This window comes from Homo sapiens, chromosome 1 (genome assembly GCF_000001405.40).
Source record: "Homo sapiens chromosome 1, GRCh38.p14 Primary Assembly".
In the NCBI taxonomy this organism is placed as follows: Eukaryota; Metazoa; Chordata; class Mammalia; order Primates; family Hominidae; genus Homo; species Homo sapiens.
In genome coordinates, this window is record NC_000001.11 from 36,393,207 (window position 1) to 36,409,296 (window position 16,090).

General features: G+C 48.5%; 1 protein-coding gene, 1 long non-coding RNA gene and 1 pseudogene across 2 annotated transcripts, besides 5 other annotated features; 1 reads left to right on the forward strand and 2 right to left on the reverse strand.

Moving 5' to 3' along the window:
* Window positions 1-229: 229 nt before the first annotated feature.
* On the reverse strand, window positions 230-4,702 carry LSM10 (LSM10, U7 small nuclear RNA associated). The gene is made up of 2 exons (NM_032881.3): window positions 4,561-4,702; window positions 230-947 (listed from the first exon to the last, which is right to left on the reverse strand). Exon 2 carries the CDS (start codon window positions 921-923, stop codon window positions 552-554), a length of 372 nt encoding a protein of 123 aa, NP_116270.1. The 5' UTR covers window positions 924-947; window positions 4,561-4,702; the 3' UTR covers window positions 230-551.
* Window positions 3,847-4,559: an enhancer, noted in NCBI's record as "NANOG-H3K27ac-H3K4me1 hESC enhancer chr1:36862654-36863366 (GRCh37/hg19 assembly coordinates)". NCBI's record gives its function as "activates a minimal SCP1, AML or CMV promoter by ChIP-STARR-seq in primed H9 embryonic stem cells {active_cell/tissue: H9 hESC(primed)}" and the evidence as "EXISTENCE:reporter gene assay evidence [ECO:0000049][PMID:30033119]".
* Window positions 4,560-5,271: an enhancer, noted in NCBI's record as "NANOG-H3K27ac-H3K4me1 hESC enhancer chr1:36863367-36864078 (GRCh37/hg19 assembly coordinates)". NCBI's record gives its function as "activates a minimal SCP1, AML or CMV promoter by ChIP-STARR-seq in naive H9 embryonic stem cells {active_cell/tissue: H9 hESC(naive)}" and the evidence as "EXISTENCE:reporter gene assay evidence [ECO:0000049][PMID:30033119]".
* Window positions 6,989-7,585: an enhancer, noted in NCBI's record as "H3K27ac-H3K4me1 hESC enhancer chr1:36865796-36866392 (GRCh37/hg19 assembly coordinates)". NCBI's record gives its function as "activates a minimal SCP1, AML or CMV promoter by ChIP-STARR-seq in primed H9 embryonic stem cells {active_cell/tissue: H9 hESC(primed)}" and the evidence as "EXISTENCE:reporter gene assay evidence [ECO:0000049][PMID:30033119]".
* Window positions 7,586-8,181: an enhancer, noted in NCBI's record as "H3K27ac-H3K4me1 hESC enhancer chr1:36866393-36866988 (GRCh37/hg19 assembly coordinates)". NCBI's record gives its function as "activates a minimal SCP1, AML or CMV promoter by ChIP-STARR-seq in primed H9 embryonic stem cells {active_cell/tissue: H9 hESC(primed)}" and the evidence as "EXISTENCE:reporter gene assay evidence [ECO:0000049][PMID:30033119]".
* On the forward strand, window positions 8,057-14,340 carry LOC124904013 (uncharacterized). The gene is made up of 2 exons (XR_007065797.1): window positions 8,057-8,212; window positions 14,174-14,340. It is a non-coding gene; the product is annotated as an uncharacterized LOC124904013 (long non-coding RNA).
* Window positions 8,163-8,252: an enhancer, noted in NCBI's record as "active region_754". NCBI's record gives its function as "activates an Ori minimal core promoter by ATAC-STARR-seq in GM12878 lymphoblastoid cells {active_cell/tissue: GM12878}" and the evidence as "EXISTENCE:reporter gene assay evidence [ECO:0000049][PMID:35858748]".
* RNU4-27P (RNA, U4 small nuclear 27, pseudogene) lies at window positions 9,515-9,653 on the reverse strand (annotated as a pseudogene).
* Window positions 14,341-16,090: the final 1,750 nt, after the last annotated feature.

Below are 16,090 nucleotides of genomic sequence, written 5' to 3' on the forward strand. Positions count from 1 at the left end.
CTCATAGCCCTCAGACCATACCCCATACCAATGAAATATGAATCTGTGAGGGTGGGACAGGTGATTCCAACGTGCAGCCAAGCTTGAGTCTGCCCCCGACTACACAGGACGGCCTGGGAGCGCAGCACACAGAAGGGAAAGCCTGGGGCACGGACCTGTTTGTATCCAAGTTGGGTTTCATGAGAAAATGAACACAACTGCATGAGAAATGGAGACACTTAGAGGTGGCTCAGGCTGAGCATGTTTAATTATCCTCACTGGGAGAGTTGAAAACTACTTGACAGGTTCCATAATCAATAAGTCAGAGATTCAGATCATCAAAAAGGGGGATTGTCACCTACCCCAAGGCCACATATAGGATTCTGGGTCCCAGAGTGAGTCTGGGAGGTGGAACCCTGTGAAAGGCAGCTTTGACAGGTGGTGTCTGTTGGACACCAGCTTCTGGCCTGGCCCTGCTTTCTTCTCGGGTACCAGACAGGGTGTGAGGGCAGGGAACTAGCTCCGGAGATCACTGGAGGACTCCGAGTTGGGGCCAGGGCTTGCTGAGGGCCTCACTTACAGTTTTTTGGGGGAAATTCCCACCGGCCTTGGCCCTTGCCACCAAAGTTTCGCACCCGATGGATAATCTGCAGCTGCTGCTCAATGGTCGAGGTGATGTTCACGTCATCTGGGATGTGGACGTAGCGGACATTGCGGCCTGTCACAAAGAGGTCATCCAGCTTGACCTGATGCCCCCAACGGTCCGTGTAGGTGACTTTGGCCAGGCGGATGTTCATGAAAGCATCGACATTGTCTATGCGTCCGTGGGCCACGCTCTCATCCCGCAGGTCCACAGTGGTTACCCGGCCCTGGAGGCCCTGCAGTAGGATGATCAGGCTGTTCTCAGAGATGGTCCGCTCCTTCACTGAATGGCTCACCGCCATTCTTCCACACCAGCTGCCTGCTTGCTGTGGACAGGAGCACACAGATGGCAGCTATAGCAGGGTAGGGGGTACAGTTGCCAACTCACCTCCACCAGGTTCTCAAACAAAATTCCCAGCACAGACCACCTCTGCAATTTTTGTATCTGTGGACACAGATGCTTCCCGCACATGTCTCATAGAATCCTCACACCAACTTGCAAGCCAAGGATTACTTATGCTCATTTTATGAATGAGAAAAATATGGCTAGGATGGCCAGGCGCGGTGGGATACACCTGTGGTACTAGCTACTCAGGAGACTGAGGTAGGAGCTTCACTTGAGCCCAAGAGCTCTGCTGACCTGCTTGGGCAACATAGCAAGACCCCAACTCTGATTTTTTAAAAAAACCTACAAGAAGGCTGGGCATGGTGGCTCACGCCTGTAATCCCAGCACTTCGAGAGGCTGAGGCAGGCAGATCACGAGGTCAGGAGATTGAGACCATCCTGGCTAACATGGTGAAACCCCGTCTCTACTAAAAATGCAAAAAAAATTAGCCGAGTGTGGTGACAGCGGGCGCCTGTAGTCCCAGCTACTCGGGAGGCTGAGGCAGGAGAATAGCGTGAACCTAAGAGGCGGAGCTTGCAGTAAGCCAAGATCGCGGCAGAGTGACTCCGTCTCAAAAAAAAGAAAAACCTATAAGAAAACGGTGAGCATTGGCCGGGCGCGGTGGCTCACGACTACAATCCCAGCACTTTGGGAGACTGAGGCGGGTGGATCACCTGAGGTCAGGAGTTCGAGACCAGCCTGGCTAACACGGTGAAACCCTGTTTCTACTAAAAATACAAAAAATTAGCCAAGCGTGGTGGCACATGCCTGTAATCTCAGCTACTCGGGAGGGTGAGGCAGGAGAATTGCTTGAACCCAGGAGGCAGAGGTTGCAATGAGCCAAGATTGCGCCATTGCACTCCAGCCTGGGCAACAAGAGCAAGACTCTGTCTCAAAAAATAAAGAAAATGGTGAGCATTTCTATTGGGTCAGAGACAAGAAAAGGATGCCTTTTATGGCTTCTAATCAACAGTAAAATGTAGGTAATGGTCAATGCAATGTTCAAAAAACGATTACGGAAAGAAGGGAAAGAATTTAGAGAAACAATAATTATAAAGGAAGATCACTGTCCTTGTTGGTCAATTATAAATTATATGATTATCTACATTGAGAATGCAAGACAAATTATTAGGACTAACAACAAAAGTCTGTATCATTCCTAATAATACATTAATTTTAAAAAATCAATAACTTTAAAAAAAGAAAAATATGGCTAGGAGAGGTAACTTGCCCAAGGTCACAGTAAATAAGTGGAATTGCTGGAATTCAAATCCGTAGCCACAGGCCGGGCGTGGTGGCTCCCCGCTGTAATCCCAGCACTTTGGGAGGCCAAGGTGGGTGGATCACTGGGGCTAGGAATTCAAGACCAGCCTGGCCAATATGGTGAAACCCCATCTCTACTAAAAATACAAAAATTAGTCGGGCATGGTGGTGAGCACCTATAATCACAGCTGCTCCGGAGGTTGAGGCAGGAGAATCGCTTGAATCCGGGAGGTGGAGGCTGCAGTGAGCCAAGATCACGCCACTGCACTCCAGCCTGGGTAACAGAGAGACTCTGTCTCAAAAAAAAAAAAAAAGAAAATCCATAGCCGTCTGGCTCCAAACCTCACACCAGGTGTGCATTAGAATCATCTGGTGAGTTTTTAACCCAACCTCCCCACCCCAGAGATTCTGATTCGTTTGGTTAGAGGGGTGGGCCCAGGTATCCTATTTTGTAAAAGCTCCCGGCTGGGCGCGGTGGCTCACGCCTGTAATCCCAGCACTTTGGGAGACCGAGGCGGGCGGATCATGAGGTCAGGAGATCAAGACCATCCTGGCTAACATGGTGAAACCCCCATCTCTACTAAAAATACAAAAAAATTAGCCAGGCGTGGTGGCGGGCGCCTGTAGTCCCAGCTACTCGGGGGGCTGAGGCAGGAGAATGGCGTGAACCTGGGAGACAGAGCTTGCAGTGAGCTGCAAGTGGAGTGCCACTGCACTCCAGCCTGGGCAGCAGAGTGACTCCATCTCAAAAAAAAAAAAAAAAAAAAAAAAAAGAAAGCTCCCCAGATAACTCCAAAGTGCTGAGGGGTACTGGTTAGAAATGCGCAATCTCAGGTCTCTCCCCAAGCCTGTTCTGAGATAAAATCCACTCCTTCACTGAGTGGCTCACTGCCATCTTCCACGCTGGCTGGAAACAGACTGCATTTTAACATGACCCCCTACGTGAATTAGATACACGTTAAGGTTTGAGAATCATTGGTTGACACCAGTAGTTCTCAAACATTAGTGTGTATCAGAATCATCTGAGGGGCTTGTTAACTCAGCTTGCTGGGCCCCACTCCCAGTTTGACTCAGGTCTGAGGTGAGGCCCAGAGATAAAGTCATTTTGAACATGTTCCCAGGTGATGCTGATGCTGCTGGTCAGGGGCCCACACTCTGGGAACTATTGGTCTACACCATGCAGCTGTTATGTAAGTAGAAATTAAGGTAATGAGGCCGGGTGCAAGGGCTCACGCCTGTAATCCCAGGATTTTGGGAGGCCAAGGCGAGTGGATCACCTGAGGTCAGGAGTTCAAGACCCGCCTGGCCAACATGGTGAAACCCAGTATCTACCAAAAATACAAAAATTACCTGGGCATGGGCGCACCTGTAATCTCAGCTACTTGGGAGGCTGAAGCAGGAGAATCGCTTGAACCCAGGAGGCAGAGGTTACAGTGAGCCAAGATTGTGCCACTGCACACCAGCCTGGGTGACACAGCGAGACTCTCAGAAAAAAAAAAAGAAAATAAATCTGGATAATGAATTGGGGAAAAAAACCCCCAACCGGTATTATATAAGGTACATAGGTTTTGAAGGTAGAGAAACCTAGGTTGGAATCCCCACTCCACCCCTAATTATGAAAACCTAGAAAAGTTAATGTCTCTGAACCTGTTTCCACATTTATTAAACTACAGGAGAAACAAAGCTACCAGAATCACACTCCACTAAAGGTACTCTCCTTTGATTTCAACATGCCCTGATAATGTATTAGTGCACTATGTCTTACCTATCCCTTATTTTCAGACCTGAGTTAAAGGGGGTGGAACGCTCTCTCTTTACGACCTCACTCAGCATCCCGTCCAGGGCTGTGCATTGTGGCACTGAGCGTGGCAAGCCAGACTAGGCCAGTGACGAGGGGGCCTGGGAGCTAGGTCCCTGGGCATGGCCTAACGACCAGCCACCCGGCTGCAGCCTGATGAATCTGCGATCAAGCAAAGGTATGGGGCTGCTGCTGCGACTGCAAAGAGCAGTCACCGGACCTCGAGTCAGGCCCGGGTTCTAGAACAGGCTTTGCCACCTCCTAGGAGGGCGATCACTTAGCAAACCACTTAGCTTCTCCAAGCTAGCTAAGCTACCGGTAAAACGGGATGAGCACCGCTTACTCAGAGCAGCGGGAGCGGGTCTGGGGAAAGGAGCTATACTCGGTAAATGGGGAAGAAAACGCTTCCTGGGCTCCGGCACCTCCTTCCGGAGGTCCTGGCATCCCCCGCATTCCGCCCCGGGGCTCCCTGCACCGCCGACCCGGACCCACCACGCGACATTCCTTCCGCTTTCCCCGTCTGGGTCGCCGCCGAAGCTAGCGGGCGCCTGGACTGGCTGCCTCCCGCCGGCTGCAGCAGGACGGAGAAACCATGCCGGCGACCGGGCCGCTCTGTCCTCCGGGCGCAGAGTGCGTCAGTGCTCTGCAAGTCACCGCGTCACGGAGAAACTACAATCCCCAGAATGCTTCGCGGCGCGGGGCTCGTGCTCCGCAAATCCCGGCCTGCGTCATTGGAGTCTCTTTCACTAGAGTCGTTCATTCATTCCGCACGCATTCATTGAACCGGCGACCTGGGCCAGGCTCCTTCCCAGGCTCCGGCATGGAGCAGTGACCAAGATCAAGTGGCTCCCTGAGCTGATGGCGCTGCAGGGGAGAGAGTCTTAAGAAAACAAAGAAGAAAAATAGGGAAAAATTTCTTCAGAAGATTAAAGGTGTGATGTGATGGTGACAAGGTGGTCTTTTATTGGATTGTCAGGGGTGCCCTGAGAAGGTGACATTTGAGTTGAGATTAGTGACATGAAGCCAAGCTTGTGAAAACTATGGGAGGAGCATTGCAATTAGCGGGAACAGTTTGTTAAGTAAAATTTATAGGAGGCAGGGCCGGGTGCAGAGGCCCACACCTGTAATCCCAGCACTTTGGAGGACAAGGCGGAAGGATCACTGGAGCCCAGGAGTTCGAGACCAGTCTGGGCAACAATGGGGAGACCCTGTCTCTACAAAAAATAGAAAAAATTAGCCCACCGTGGTGGCGTACACCTCTGGTCCCACCTACTTGGGAGGCTGAGGCAGGAGAATTGCTTGAATCCAGGAAGTGGAGGCTGCAGTGAGCTCAGAAAGTAACACTTCATTCCAGCCTGGGCAACAGAGCAAGACTCCGTCTCAAAAAAAAAAAAAAATTGGAGGCCATTGGTTTGAACAGGGCTCCTGCACCAAGCCCAACAGAACCAAAATGGAGTCACTCATGCTAAAGTTCTACATCACCAAGTGGAAACTAAGTTGTTTATCTGATATTCCGATAAATCAGAAGAGTGAGAGATAGCTAGATCTCCAAACCATCCTGTTTTAGCTGGCAGGATAAGGAAGTCCCCTCTGCTTTAGCCTTCAAAGTTACAAGGAAAGTAACTTTGAAACAACCAATCTTTTTGTTTTCTGTTTCTGCTTTCCTCAGCCCTTTTCTGGCTGTAAAACCAATCTCCTCTGCTCAGCTCATTTGAACACTCATTCCATTTTATAGAATGAAGTGTTGCCCGATTCTAGAGTTGCAAATAAAAGTCAGATTTAACAAATTTGGCAAAAAAAAGTCAAATCACCAATTAAAAGTTAAATTTTTTCTTTTCACAGTTCATGCAAAGAACCTGGGGGAAATGACCTTGACAATTTAGGAACACAGGAAAGGCCAGGGAAGCTGGGGAGAGTGGTATAACAAGAGGCCAGAGAGGAAGCAGGAACCAGAGCATATAGGGCTTTGTGAGCCAAGGTAAGGAGTTTAGATTTCATGGTTAGGAGTGCAGCCTCCGGATACAGTGCCTAGGTTCAAATCTACTCCTGGCTAATTGTGACTTTGGGCAAGTTAGTATCTTCTCTGTGCCTCAGTCTTCTCATCTAGTACTAGAAGTGCTATGACAGGCTATTGAAAGGGAGCGAAGTGATTTGATTTACTTGTAGAGACAGGTTCTCACCCTGTCATCCAGGCTGGAGTGCAGTGGTGTGATCATAGCTCACTGCAGCCTCAACTACCTGGGCTCAAGTGATCCTCCTACCCAAGCCTCAAGAATAGCTGGGACTACAGGCACACGCCACTGTGCCCCACCTGATTTACATTTTTTAAAAGTCACTCTGTATAGCCTTGGAAAAATTACTTTCTTCCTCAGCCTCAATTTGCTTGTTATGAAAACAAAAAATTAGGCCTTTCTCAGAGAACTGTAAGATTTAAGTGACCTTCATTAATGTGTGAAAGCATCTGGCACAGAGAAGAAGCTCAGTAAATTAGGCTTCTTGGCTGGGGGTGGTGGCTCACACCTGTAATCCCAACACTTTGGGAGGCCAAGGCAAGAGGACTGTTTAAGCTCAGGAGTTTGAGACCAGCCTGGGCAACATAGTGAGACCCCATCTCTAAATTTTTTTTTGTTTTTGAGATGGAGTTTCACTCTTGTTGCCCAGGCTGGAGTGCAATGGCCTGATCTCGGCTTACAACCTCCGCCTCCCGGGTTGAAGCAATTCTCCTGCCTCAGCCTCCCAAGTAGCTGGGATTACAGGTGTGCACCACCACACCCGGCTAATTTTTGTATTTTTAGTAGTGACGGGGTTTCTCCATGTCGGTCAGGCTGGTGTCGAACTCCCTACCTCAGGTGATCTGCCCACCTCGGCCTCCCAAAGTGCTGGGATTACAGGCGTGAGCCACCGAGCCCGGCCAAAAATGTTTTAAGAAATTAGCTGGGTGTGGCCGGGCGCGGTGGCTCACGCCTGTAATCCCAGCACTTTGGGAGGCCGAGGCGGGCGGATCACGAGGTCAGGAGATGGAGACCATCCTGGCTAACATGGTGAAACCCTGTCTCTACTAAAAATACAAAAAATTAGCTGGACGTGGCGGCGGGCGTCTGTAGTCCCAGCTACTCGGGAGGCTGAGGCAGGAGAATGGCGTGAACCTGGGAGGCCGAGCTTGCAGTGAGCTGAGATCGCGCCACTGCACTCCGGCCTGGGCGACAGAGCGAGACTCCGTCTCAAAAAAAAAAAAAAAATTTAGCTGGGTGTAATGGGTGCACCTATAGTCCCAGCTGTCACAAGAACCTTAGGGTGTCACTCTGCCATCTGGAAACCTCTGTGGCTAGCAGCGCCTGTGCTTGACTTTTGCTTGTGCCTGCTGGGCTCGTTCTGCCTGCTCAGTCTGGCAGGCTGGGCTCAGCTTGCACTACGGGCTCGGATCCCACGCCTGCCAAAGGCGTGCCAGGTGTGGAGCAGTGAGGGATGTGTGAGCGAGTGAGCACAGGGTCCGACCACTGCACACAGCCAGATAGGCCGGCTGCTGCAGCGGGTGGGCAGCTCCAAGGGCCAGCACTGGCAGCTCCAGGCGCCGGCACAGGCTTTGGCTCTGTGCAAGGCTGCGGCTGGACCAGACATACCGTAAGTGGCTTCTGCTGTGGGCACCAGCATCTGGACAAGGGGAACACAGTGGTGGCCGAAAGCTCAGAGACACCAGGAACCACAGAGCCACAAAGAGGGTGTTACAGTGTGTCACAGCCCTGGCTTGTGGAGCCCGGAGGTCTGGGCCCCAAGAAGGGCTGCAGCTCTTCACCACACGAGGAGCAGGGGCGGGGCATCTTGGGGGGCGGGGGCGTGTTTCAGTCCATATGTGTTACAGCTCTTTCAGTCCTACCGCTCAGTGCTGCCCTGCTCTGGCCCGTGGTTCCTGGGCTGGCTAGGCCCAGCCACCGCTTCCTGTCATGTGGCACAGCTACCCGCTGGTGGAGGGTGGGCCCCCGGAAGGGTCACCACTCTTCACTCCTGCAGTCTGGGAGTGTGTCACCACCCGCAGCTCAGCGAGCTGGCCAGGAATATGTTATACTCCTTTTACTCCCGCTGTTTGGCAGGTCCCAAGTTCTTGTTTCGCATCCAGGAAGAATGAGGTTATGTGGATAACTGGAGGGTAAGCAAGCTGGAGGGAGCTTTATTGAGTGATAGAACAGCTCTCGGGAGACCTGAAGTGGGTGGCTCCTTTCCGCAAGCAGGTCCTGTGGAGTGTCTGAGACTGGCTGAGTCTGGGGTTTTCATGTGCGAAGAATGGAGGAAGTGCATGCTGGTTGGCCCATGGGTGGCCATGGGTGGGCCTGGAAAAAGTACCATCCAATTGGCTGGAAGGCATCAATGAAGTTCTTACTCCTGTCCTGGGTTCCACCTGGAACTGGCAGCCCCACCCCCAGGCTTCAGGCCACCCCTGGCTTGAAGGTGGGGCTTCACTGGGCATCTGCCCCTTCTGCCTAGGAACCTGATTGCCTCCTGGCACTATTAACGTGCTGTCTGCTGGTGCCCAGATTGCCTGTGCTGGTGGGAGCCTGCAGGCCTGCACCAAGCCACCCTCAGTCCCCTGGCCTCCATCACATGCTTATTGGCACCCAAAGTCTGGGGGGGTGCTGAGGCAGCGGGGGTTGGTGTGTCAGTGTCGCCCACAGTGCACGCACATCAAGCTGGGTCACAACAGTGCCCGGGCTTAGCCACAACTTTGCTCTGCACTGGAGTGGGCGCCAAGAGTGGGGAGACTCCAGGGAGTGGGAGCAAGCACTTCTGAGCCTGCGGGGGCAGGGGCTTTCTGGGCCCTCAAGAGCACAGGGATGCCCGGGTCTGGAGCCATGGCTGGGTTGCTGCAGCTGTGCCCAGGAGTGAGGGCTCCATGCCCCGTCAACTTGGTAGGGTGTGGGGCTCCTGCTGGCATCATCTGTTTCTGGCCCCTGCTGGCTCCACAGAGCACGTAGCCCCAGCTGCACCTCTGCCTGGCATGAAGTGGTTGAAGCTGGCTGCTCCAGATGGGCCGCTGCTGCCATCACAGCTACGTGGGAGGCTGTGGCTGGAGGATCTCTTGAGCCCTGGAGGTTGAGGCTGCAGTGAGCTATGACTGTGCCACTGCACAGTGCACTCCAGCCTGGGTGACAAAGACCCTGTCTCAAAAAAAAACAAAAAACAAACAAAAAAAAGAGGCTTCTTTCATTCCTTCACTCTCTCATTCATTGATTTCCATCTCTCCTAGGAGGCTTCCCTTTTTATCAGCAATCACAGTTGGGCTCTTCTTATTCTAAAAATAAAATTGTCTTTCTCCTCCATGCAATCTACTGTTTTCTTACTTTCCACAGTCAAACTTCTCAAAAGGCCCTTATGCCAGCCTTTCCGCAAGTATGATCACTTTTCCAGCTATCTATGTGAGACTGGATTTGCTTCTCTTCTTTTAAATATTCAGTCTCCATAGAGACTGTCAAAAGTTGCCAATGCCGACTATATTGCAAGTTTTCATGGCTGGGTGTTGGGATTTTTCAGTGAGCGAGAATTGTGCCGCAGATAAACCTCATTGTTGATAATACTGCTACTTACATAAGTTTTAAACTTATGTTAGTGAGTTTATGTTTATATATATATATATACACACACACACACACACACTTTTTTTTTTTTTGAGACAGAGTCTTGCTCTGTTGCCCAGGCTAGTGCAGTGGTGTGATCTTGGCTCACTGCAATCTCCATCTCCCAGGTTCAAGTGATTCTTCTGCCTCAGCTCCCTAAGTAGCAGGGATTACAGGTGCGTACCACTATGCCTGGCTAATTTTTGTATTTTTAGTAGAGACAGGGTTTTACCATGTTGGCCAGGCTGGTCTCGACCTCCTGACTTCAGGTGATCCACCTGCCTCGGCCTCCCAAAGCACTAGGATTACAGGCATGAGCCACTGTACCCAGCCTATATTTTTTATATATATATATATATATATATATATATATATATATATATATATGTAAATGTATGTTAGTGAGCTTATATATTTTATGTATATACAAATGTATGTTAGTGAGTTTATATATTTTATATATATACAAATGTATGTTAGTGCATTTATATATTTTATATATAAATGTGTTAGTGAGTTTATATATTTTATATATACAAATTTATGTTAATGAGTTTATATTTTTATATATAAATTTATGTTAGTAAGTTAATATATTTTATATAAAATTTATGTTAGTGAGTTTATATAGTTTATAAATTTATGTTAGTGAGTTTATGTAACTTATATACATACATATTTATGTTAGTGAGTTAATGTGAGTTTATATAATTTATATATATAAATTTGTTAGTAAGTTTATATATTATGTATATACAAATTTATGTTAGTGAGTTTATATATTTTATATATATAGAAATTTATGTTAGCGAGTTTATGTTAGTGAGTTTATATAATTTATATATATAAATTTATGCTAGTGAGTTTACATATTTTATTTTATTTATTTATTTGTTTATTTATTTATTTATTTATTTTTTTGAGACGGAGTCTCGCTCTGTCGCTCAGGCTGGATGGAGTGCAGTGGCGCCATCTCGGCTCACTGCAAGCTCCGCCTCCTGGGTTCACGCCATTGTCCTGCCTCAGCCTCCCGAGTAGCTGGGACTGCAGGCGCCGGCCACCAGGGCCGGCTAATTTTTTTTTAATTTTTAGTAGAGACGGGGTTTCACCGTGTTAATCAGGATGGTCTCGACCTTCTGACCTCGTGATCCACCCGCCTCGGCCTCCCAAAGTGCTGGGATTACAGGCGTGAGCCACCGCGCCCGGCCAACATATTTTATATATATATATATAAATTTATGTTAGTGAGTTTATACATTTTATATATATATAAACTAATGCTGGTGAGTTTATATATTTTATACATGTATATATATAAATTTGTGAGTTTATTATATATTTTATATATAAAATATGTTAGTTTATATATTTATATATAATGTAAATTTATGTTCATGAGTTAATTTCTGAATGAATTAATATTACATTTTTATTTTAATTTCCAATATGACAGAAAATACATATAACCCACATAATCTGTCAATCATTTTGAAGAGTATGTAGAGGTTCCAAGACCAAGAAGAAGTTTGAGAACTGCTGCTGTACAGTGAGGCTTCCACTTTCTTTCTTTTTTTTTTTTTTTTTTTGAGACGGAGTCTGGCTCTGTCGCCCAGGCTGGAGTGCAGTGGCGGGATCTCGGCTCACTGCAAGCTCCGCCTCCCAGGTTCACGCCATTCTTCTGCCTCAGCCTCCGAGTAGTTGGGACTACAGGCGCCTGTCGCTACACCCAGCTAATTTTTTGTATTTTTAGTAGAGACAGGGTTTCACCGTGTTAGCCAGGATGGTCTCCATCTCCTGACTTCGTAATCAGGTCCGCCTTGGCCTTCCAAAGTGCTGGGATTACAGGCGTGAGCCACTGCGCCCGGCCGAGGCTTCCACTTTCTCACACCAATGGCTCTGCTTACTGGAACCTGGTTTCTACTCCCAAGACCCCAATAACTTTTTCAGCAAAGGTTGCTAATGATATCCCTGTTCCTAAAACCCATATCCCCTCTTGTAGTCCTCGCTTCTGGCATCCCCCTCAGTGCTCGAGCATTCTGATCACCCTCCTCCTTGGTATTTTGTTTTTTCTGGGCATTGTGTCATTTATCTTCACCCATTTCTCTGATTGCTTCTTTTCCATTTATCTCTTTCTCTCTTTTTAAGCCCACTTCATTCTCCTGTCCCCTAACGTGCGTGTTTCCTCTGGGGCTGTATTTCCTCTACCTGAGGGTAGCTGTCTTGAGCTGTCTCCTCCCATGCTGTTGAGTCCGGGTCTGTGCCCCAGCCCACACTGCTCTCTGGATCTCCATTTTCCCATGTCTTACACTGCTTATTCCCCAGATGTCTTACTGCTACTCAAAACCCAGTAGGTCTATTGAGAAAAATTCATCAAGTCCCTTCCAAATCAGTTCCTGCTCTGAATTTTTCCATTTCTGCAGTTGCTACCACCATTTTTCAGCTACCTAAGTTGGGCACCTTGAGTAACCTTGATAACTTCTATAATTTTTTCTTCCTTGCCTTTTTTTTTTTTTTTTTTTTTTTTTGAGACAAGTTATTGTTCTGTCACCCAGGCTGGAGTGCAGGGGCATGATCTTGGCTCACTGCAACCTCCACCTCCCAGGCTCAAGTGATCCTCCCACCTCAGCCTCCAGAGTAGCTGGGACTACAGGCATGCACCACCACACCTGGCTAATTTTTTTTGTATTTTTAGTAGAGACAGGGTTTCACCACATTGCCCAGGCTGGTCTCAAACTCCTGAGCTCAAGAGGTCCTCCTGCCTCAGCCTCCCAAAGTGTTGGGATTACAGGCATGAGCCACCTCACCCAGCTGATAACTTCTATAATTTCTTGATTCCCCCACACCTGTCACAATCACTCAGTCACTAGCCCTGCAAATTCTTTGAAGTATCTCTGCCATCATTTACTTACTTTTTTTTTTTTTTTTTTTTTTTTAATAGAGACAGGGTCTTGCTCAGCTGCACAGCCCAGAGTACAGTGGAGTGATCATAGCTCACTGCCGTCTCCAACTCCTGGACTTAAATGATTCTCCCTTCTCAGACTCCTGAGTAGCTGGTACTGTAAGTGCACACCATCATGCCTGGCTAATTTTGAGATGGGGGTTTTGCTTTTGTCACTCGGGCTGGAGTGCAATGGCGCAATCTCGGCTCAGTGCAACCTCTGCCTCCTGGGTTCAAGCAATTCTCCTGCCTAAGCCTCCACCTCCCGAGTAGCTGGGATTACAGGTATGAGCCACCACACCCAGCTAATTTTGTATTTTTTAGTAGAGATGGGGTTTCTCCATGCTGGTCAGGCTGGTCTTGAACCCCTGACCTCAGGTGATCCACCCGCCTTGGCCTCCCGAAGTGCTGAGATTACAGGCATGAGCCACCACGCCTGGCCTTAATTTATTATCAAAACCATCTCACTGGTCTTTGTGTTGCTTACAATTTTTTGCCAACAGATTCAAAACGCAGTTCTGATTCTATCATTTACCTGCTAAGAACACTTTCAATTTACTAGCAGAATAGATTCTAATGCTGACATTTAAGTAAGCCCTCCATAATTTGATTTTATCTTCTAGCTGGATCTCTGTTAGGTTCTCTGCCCAAACTCCCCAGTCTTCCTCCCTTCCTTCCTTCCTGCCTTCCTTCCTTCCTTCCTTCTTTCCCTTCCTTCCTTCTTTCCCTCCCTTCCTTCCTGCCTGCCTTCCTTCCTTCCCTTCCTTCCTTCCTGCCTTCCTTCCTTCTTTCCCTCCCTTCCTTCCTGCCTTCCTTCCTTCCTTCTTTCCCTCCCTTCCTTCCTTCCCTTCCCTTCCCCTTCCTTCCTTCCTCTTTCTTTCTTTCCTTCCTTCCTTCCTTCCTTCTTTCCTTCCTTCCTTCCTTCTCTCTCTCTCTCTCTTCTTTCTTTCTTCTGAGACAGAGTCTTGCTCTGTCGCCCAACTTGGAGTGCAGTGGTGTGATCTCAGCTCACTGCAACCTCCACCTCCTGGGTTCAAGCGATTCCCTGCCTCAGCCTCCCAAGTAGCTGGGATTACAGGCACCCACCACCATGGCTGGCTAATTTTTGTATTCTTAGTAGAGACGGGGTTTCACCATCTTGGCTAGGCTGGTTTCAAACTCCTGACCTCGTGATCTGTCTGCCTCGGCCTCCCAAAATGCTGGGATTCAGTGTTTCTTAAAGTGTGGTAGGAGAATGGGTTGCCTTAACACTATCTGGAATGCTTGTTAACCCAATCCCAGACCTATGGAATCGGAAGTAGGGCCTATGCATTTGCACATCTAACAATGTGCACTAAAATTTGATACCCGCTGGCCTACTCTCTAGTCAGACTCAGCCACTCAGCAATCCACAGAGGAACCCGACACTCTCGCCTCTGCCTTTGCTACCTGAGCTGGGAGCGATGTCTCTCTTCTGACCCCTATAGCATATTGCTCACACCTTTCCTAGTTTGCTTGTTGCATGCAGATTCACCATAGTTGTTTACATAAATCTTTTTTTTTTTTTCTTTTTTTGAGACAGGGTCTCACTGTCGCCCAGGCTGAAGTGCAGTGGCGTGATCACGGCTCATGGCAGCCTCAACCTCTCCAACCTCTCGGGCTCAAGCGATACTTCCACCTCCACCTCCTGCGTAGCTGGGACTACAGGCACGTAACACTATGCCCAGCTAATACATAAATCATACCTCCTCTGCTAGTCTCCTGAATGTTGGGTCAGAGAGAAGACCTTAGGAGGCCCAGATGCTTCACACTGTAAACTGCAGTGGTATGAGGAACACTAGTTTTATGAATGTGATGAAAAAGTGATCAGGATCTAAATGAAGATGGTCAGTTGCAGTGGGAATGGAAAGGAGGGATGAATGTTAAAGACCCATGAAAAGAGCCAGTCAGAATCCTTGGAGGCTGATCACATCTGGAATGTGGGTGGAAGGAGGAGGAATCAATTTTAACACTGAGGCTGAGCACGGTGGCTCATGCCTGTAATTCTAGCACTCTGGGAGGATGACATGGGCGGATTGCTTGAGCCCAGGGGGCTGAGACCAGCCTGGACAACATGGCAAAACCCCATCTCTACAAAAGTTTAAAAAACTAGCCAATTAGCTGGGTGTCCCTGCTACTCAGGAGGCTGAGGTGGGAGGATCACTTGATGGAGCCCAGGAGGTCGAGGCTGCAGTGAGCCGAGATTGCGCCACTGCACTACAGCCTGGGCAACATAGTGAGACTCTGTCTCAAAAAAAAAAAAAAATTGCCGGGCCTGGTGGCTCATGCCTATAATCCCAGCAGTTTGGGAGGCCGAGGCGGGCGGATCACAAGGTCAGGGGTTTGAGACCAGTCTGACCAATATGGTGAAACCCTGTCTTTGCTAAAAATACAAAAATTAGCCAGGTGTGGTGGCGGTGTAGTCCCAGCTACTCAGGAGACTGAGGCAGGAGAATCCTTGAACTTGGGAGGCAGAGGTTGCAGTGAGCCAAGATCACGCCACTGCACTCCAGCCTGGGTGACAGAGAGAGACACTGTCTCAAAAAAAGAAAAAAAAAATTAACACTGGGTATCCAGAGAGATTGTTAGTAATAAGAGGGGCAGAGTTGGGGTTGCTGCTTGTGGAGGAGATCTCACTGTTTGGCTACTCAGCAACTGAACTCCTTCCCTATGTTTGGGGAAATCTGACATTCTATGGACTTCAGTGGGAGAATCTCATCACAACAGATGATTTAAAGGCCAGATATTGTCTTTGATTCTTGTCTGCTATGATGTGGGCTTGTGACATAAATTCAAGTATTATCAGAGTTTACATCGGGAGCAAGTGACACAAACCAGCAGGAACTGTTCAGGCTCTGTCCTGGTGTATGCGTCATCCAGAGCTGCATTCCTGATGGTGGTTCCAGTGCTGGAATTATTCCCTCCACTGCCCACACTTCCTTGGTTCCTGGACATTTTCTGATGGTTCTCCCATCTTCCTGACAACTCTTGAGTTGCCTGATGTCCTTTCAGTAAATTCCTTTTCTATTGAAATAGCTAGAACTGGTTTCATTTTTTTGTAGCCAAAACCCTAACTAGTACAAGGTGCACTTGAAATGAGTTCATTCCAGGAGCCTTGAATTTCTCTGTTTTTTTTTTTTTTTTTTTTTTTTTTTTTTTCTGAGACAGAGTCTCTCTCTGTCACCCAGGCTGCAGTGCAGTGGCGTGATCTTGGCTCAGTGTAACCTCCACCTCCCAGGTTCAAGCAGTTCTCCTGCCTCAGCCTCCAACGTACCTGGCATTACAGGAGTAGACCATTACACCCAGCTAATTTTTATATTTTTAGTAGAGACAGGGTTTTGTCATGTTGGCCAGGCTGCTCTCGACCTCCTGACCTCAGGTGATCTGCCTGCCTCTGCCTCTTAAAGTGCTGGGATTACAGGCGTGAGCCACCACGCCCGGCCTGTCTAGTCTCTCTCTT